At 38.3% G+C, this 5345-nt stretch overlaps 2 annotated features.

Annotated features, from left to right (window-relative positions):
• Positions 1984–2572: an enhancer, noted in NCBI's record as "OCT4-NANOG hESC enhancer chr14:45764263-45764851 (GRCh37/hg19 assembly coordinates)". NCBI's record gives its function as "activates a minimal SCP1, AML or CMV promoter by ChIP-STARR-seq in naive H9 embryonic stem cells {active_cell/tissue: H9 hESC(naive)}" and the evidence as "EXISTENCE:reporter gene assay evidence [ECO:0000049][PMID:30033119]".
• Positions 2573–3163: an enhancer, noted in NCBI's record as "OCT4-NANOG hESC enhancer chr14:45763672-45764262 (GRCh37/hg19 assembly coordinates)". NCBI's record gives its function as "activates a minimal SCP1, AML or CMV promoter by ChIP-STARR-seq in naive H9 embryonic stem cells {active_cell/tissue: H9 hESC(naive)}" and the evidence as "EXISTENCE:reporter gene assay evidence [ECO:0000049][PMID:30033119]".

The raw sequence follows: 5345 nt of genomic DNA, 5'->3' as shown, positions 1-5345 counted from the left end.
GGATGCAGTGGCACAATCATAGCTCACAGCAACCTCAAACTCCCGGGCTCAAGGGATCCTCCCGCCTCAGTCTCCCAAGTAGCTAGGATTATAGGTGTGTGCCACTATGTTCAGCTAATTTTTTTGTTTGTTTGTTTGTTTTTTGTAGAAACAGGGTCTTGTTATATGGCCCAGGCTGGTTTCAAACTCCTGGCCTCAAGCCGTCCTTCAGTCTCAACCTCCCAAAATGTTGGGATTACAGGCATGAGCCTCCATGCACAGCCCACTGAATGATCTATTTTTAATTTAAATGTCACACTATAGCAGTGGCATTTGCTGAGCTTCCTGATGGATTCATGGCCCAAGTGTAAGATACAGTCAAACAGAGAATTTTTAAGTTGTATTTATTATATAATTGTAGAAATACGATATTTTGGGGTATTTTTACTTGTGTCATTGTACCTTGCTATCAAAGTGTGGTTTGTAGATCAGTCTCATTGACCTCACTTAGAAGCTTGTTGAAAATGCAGAACCCAGGCCCCATGCCAACTCTGCATTTTAAATACAACCCTGGTTGATTCATATGCATATTAAAGTTTGAAAAACATTATTATAGTACACTTTTAAAGTATCTTCTAGCTCTGATCCTCCACAGCCAGAATCCTGTACTCCCATTTAAATAACTAAAACACATTAATAATAGATGTTTTATTGAATCCTGCATTCCTTTTAAATTAACTGGAATAAAAAATTGTATGAACTTGTCAAATAATGAACAAATAACTGACTATGGTGGCAAGAATGAGGGTTACATAAAAATTGTCTTTGGCCAGGGAAAACAAGTAACATCATTCATTCTTTCAGTATGCTAACTGCTCATGAAATTGCAAATGATGCTACTAAATAAGACAAAATGACACAGCTATACAGAAATCAAAGAAGCACATCTAAGACAAAGGCAAGAAGAAAACTGTAATGCCAAATGCAAAATTTCATTTGAAATAGGAAACACAATATAGACTTGTTGTGCAGAAGAGTGTATGGACATGACAGTGTAATAGAGAATCATGAGGCAGGTCCTTCTCTTTTTTCTGTCACCCTTCCTGTATGTTGTGGGGAGAAGCCCTATGTCCTATCCCTGGGCAAAACTGCTCCCAAACAACCTCAAGCAATTAACCACTTCAACATTTTGTTGCTTTTTTTTTTTTCTTCTGGCTTTAATTTTTTTTAACTTTTATTTTAAGTTCAGGGGTACATCTGCAGGTTTGTTGCATAGGTAAACCTGTGTTATGGGGGTTTGTTGTACAGATTATTTCATCACCCAGATACTAAGCCTAGTACTCATTAGTTATTTTCCCTGATCCTCTCCCTCCTCCTAACCTCCACCCTCTGATAGGCCCCAGTGTGTGTTGTTCCCCTCTATGTGTCCATGTGGTCTCATCATTTAGCTCCCACTTATAAGTGAGAATAGGAAGTATTTGATTTTTCTGTTCCTACATTAGTTTGCCAAGGATAATGGCCTCCAGCTCCATCCATGTCCCTGCAAAGGACACAATCTTGTTCCTTTTTATGGCTGCATAGTATTCCATCATGTAAATGTACCACATTACAATGTCTAACATTGATGGGAATTTAGATTGATTCCGTGTCTTTGCTATTGTGAATAGTGCTGCAATGAACATACACGTGCATGTGTCTTTCTAACAGGATGATTTATGTTTTGGGGGGTATATACCTAGTAATGGCATTGCTGGATCAAACAGTATTTCTGTCTTTATGTCTTTGAGGAATTGCCACACTGTCTTCCATAATGGTTGAACTAATTTATACTCACACCAACAGTATATAAGCATTCCTTTTTCTCCACAACCTCACCAGCTGCTGTTATTTTCTTTTTTTTTATTATACTTTTAAGTTTTAGGGTACATGTGCACAATGTGCAGGTTTGTTACGTATGTATACACGTGCCGTGTTGGTGTGCTGCACCCATTAACTCGTCATTTAATATTAGGTATATCTCCTAATGCTATCCCTCCCCGCCCCCCGCTCCCCACAACAGGCCCCGGTGTGTGATGTTCCCCTTCCTGTGTCCATGTGTTCTCATAGCCATTCTGACTGGTGTGAGATGGTATCCCACTGTGGTTTTGATTTGCATTTCTCCAATGATCAGTGATGTTGAGCTTTTTTTCATATGTTTTTTTGGCCACATATATGTCTTCTTTTGAAACATGCCTGTTCAAGTTGTTGACAAAAAGTCAAACTCTAAAATATTTGGAGAGATTTATTCTGAGCCAAATATGAGTGACCCTGGCCCATGACACAGCCTTCAGGAGGGCCTGAGAACATGTGCCCAAAGTGGTCAGGGTACAGCTTGGTTTTATACATTTTAGGGAGGCATGAGACATCAGTCAAATACATTTACAACTCAAAGTGGGGAGGGCTTTCAAGCTATAGGTAAATTTAAACATTTTTCTGGTTGACAATTGGTTGAGTTTATCTAAAGATCTGGGATCATAGAAAGGAAATGTTCAGGTTAAGATAAAAGACTGTGGAGACCAAGGTTCTTTTGAAGTCTTATAGTGGCTGCCTTTAGAGACAATAGATGACAAATGTTTCCTATTCAGATCTTTAAAAGGTGCTAGAGTTTTAGTTAATCTCTTTAGGATTGGGAGGGCCTGGGAGAAAAAGATCTAGCTGTGTTAATAGAGATTCTTTACAGATGCAAATTTCCCCCAACAAAGGACAGCTTTGCAGGCCCATTTAAAGATACAGCAAAGAAACATGTTTTGGGGTAAAATATTTTATTTTCTTCTTCGTCTCATAAGGTTATGCCAAAGTCAGGTTGGAAAGTAAGTCACAATATATGGGGTTAAATAAAACCCATCTGATGAGAATTTATGATTTGTAGGGCACGACTCCCCAGATTCCTTAGATAGAAATTTGGGCAAGATAAAAAAATCAGAGTTTAGTGCTCAAAGTCCATTGCCCACTTTTAACGGGGTTTGTATCTTTTCCTGTAAATTTGTTTAAGTTTTTTTATGAATGCTGGATATTAGACCTTTGTCGGATGCATAATTTGCAAACATTTTCTCCCCTTCCATAGGTTGTTTATTCTGTTCATAGTTTCGTTTGCTGTGCAGAAGAAACGCTTTCGTTTAATTAGATCCCATTTTTCAATTTTCACTTCTGTTGCACTGGCTTTTGTAGTCTTCATCATGAAATCTTTGCCTGTGCCTATGTCCTGAATGGTGTTGCCTAGGTTTTCTTCTAGAGTTTTTGTAGTTTTGGGTTTTATATTTAAGTATTTATTCCATCTTGAGTTAATTTTTGTATATCATGTAAGGAAGGGGTCCAGTTTCAATCTTCTACATATGGCTAGCCAGTTATCCTAGCACCATTTATTGAATAGGGAATCTTTTCCACATTGCTTGTTTTTGTCAGGTTTGTCGAAGATCAGATAGTTGTAGGTGTATGGCCTTATTTCTAGGTTCTGTATTCTATTCCGTTGGTCTATGTGTCTATTTTTGTACCAGTGGTGTTTTGGTTACTGTAGCCTTACAGTATAGTTTGAAGTTGGGTAGTGTGATGCCTCTAGCTTTGTTCTTTTTGCTTAGGATTGCCTTGGCTATTCAAGCTCTTTTTTGTTCCATATGAATTTTAAAATAGTTTTCTCTAGTTCTGTGAAGAATGTCAATGGTAGTTTCACAGGAATAGCATTGACTCTGTAAATTGCTTTGGGCAGTATGGTGATTTTAATGATATTGATTCTTCCTACCCATAAGCATGGAATGTTTTTTAATTTCTTTGTGTCATATCTGATTTCTTTGAGCAGTGCTTTGTAGTTCTCCTTCTGGAGACCTTTTGCCTCCCTAGTTAGCTGTATTCCTAGGTATTTTATTCTTTTTTTGGCAATTGTGAATGGGAGTTCGTTCCTGATTTGGCTCTCAGCTTGACTGTTGTTGGTATATAGGAATGCTAGTTATTATTGCACATTGATTTTGTATCCTGAGACTTTACTGAAGTAATTTATGAGCTGAAGGAGCTTTGGGGCTGAGACTATGGGGTTTTCTAGATATAGAATCATGTCATTTGCAAACAAGGATAGTTTGACTTCCTCTCTTCCTATTTGGATGCCTTTTACTTCTTCCTCTTGCCTGATTGCCCTGGCCAGGATTTCTAATACTATATTGAATAGGAGTGGTGAGAGAGGGCATTGTTGTCTTGTGCCAGTTTTCAAGGGGAATGCTTCCAGCTCTTTCCCATTCAGTGTGATGTTTGCTATGTGTTTATCGTAGATGGCTCTTATTATTTTGAGGTATGTTCCTTCAATACCTAGTAACTAGAGTTTTTAATGTGAATGGATGTTGAATTTTATCAAAAGCCTTTTCTGCATCTATTGAGATAAACTTGTGGTTTTCATCTTTAGTTCTGTTTATGTGATGACACATTTATTGATTTGTGTATGTTGAACCAACCTTGCATCCCAGGAATAAAGCCTACTTGACTGTGTTTATAAGCTTTTTGATGTGCTGCTGGATTTGATTTGCCAGTATTTTGCAGAGGATTTTGCATTGATTTTCATCAAGGATATTGGGCCAGGTCCAGTGGCTAATGGCTATAATCCCAGCACTTTGGGAGGCTGAGGGAGGTGGATCACTTAAGCTCAGGAGTTCAAGACCAGGCTGGGCAACATGGCAAGACCTTGTCTCTACCAAAAATACAAAAAATTAGCTGAGTAAGGTGACGCATGCCTGTGGTCCCAGCTACTTGGGAGGCTGAGTTGGGAGGATCACTTGAGCTCAGGAGTCAGAGGTTGCAGTAAGCCAAGATCACACTCCAGTGTGGGTGACAGAGTGAGACCCCATGTCAAAAAAGAAAAAAAAAAAGAAAAAAGGATATTGGCCTGAAGTTCTTTGTTGTTGTTGCTGTATCCTTGCCAGGTTTTGGTATCAGGATGATGCTGGCCTCATATAATGAGTTAGGGAGGAGTCCCTCCTCCTCAATTTTTTGGAATAGTTTCAGTAGGAATGGTACCAGCTTTTCTTTGTACATCTGGTAGAATTTAGCTATAAATCTGTCTGGTCCTGGTTTTTTTTCAGTTGGTAGGCTATTGCCAGAGTGATTTTTAACAGCTTTATTGAGGTATCATTGATATAACAACAACAACAAAAAAATCACATATGTATACAATTTGATGAGTTTAGACATATGCATACACCCATGATACCATCACCACAATCAAAGTAGTAAACATATCCCTCACCTCCTAAAGTTTCCTTGTGTCTGTTTGCATGGTTTATTTTGTTTCATTTTATAGTAAGAACACTTGGCAAGAGATCACCCTCTTAACCCATTTTTAAATGAAC

This window comes from Homo sapiens, chromosome 14 (assembly GCF_000001405.40).
Source record: "Homo sapiens chromosome 14, GRCh38.p14 Primary Assembly".
In the NCBI taxonomy this organism is placed as follows: domain Eukaryota; kingdom Metazoa; phylum Chordata; class Mammalia; order Primates; family Hominidae; genus Homo; species Homo sapiens.
The sequence above is the reverse complement of the archived record's forward strand: the minus strand, read 5'-3'. Positions and strand labels throughout refer to the sequence as shown.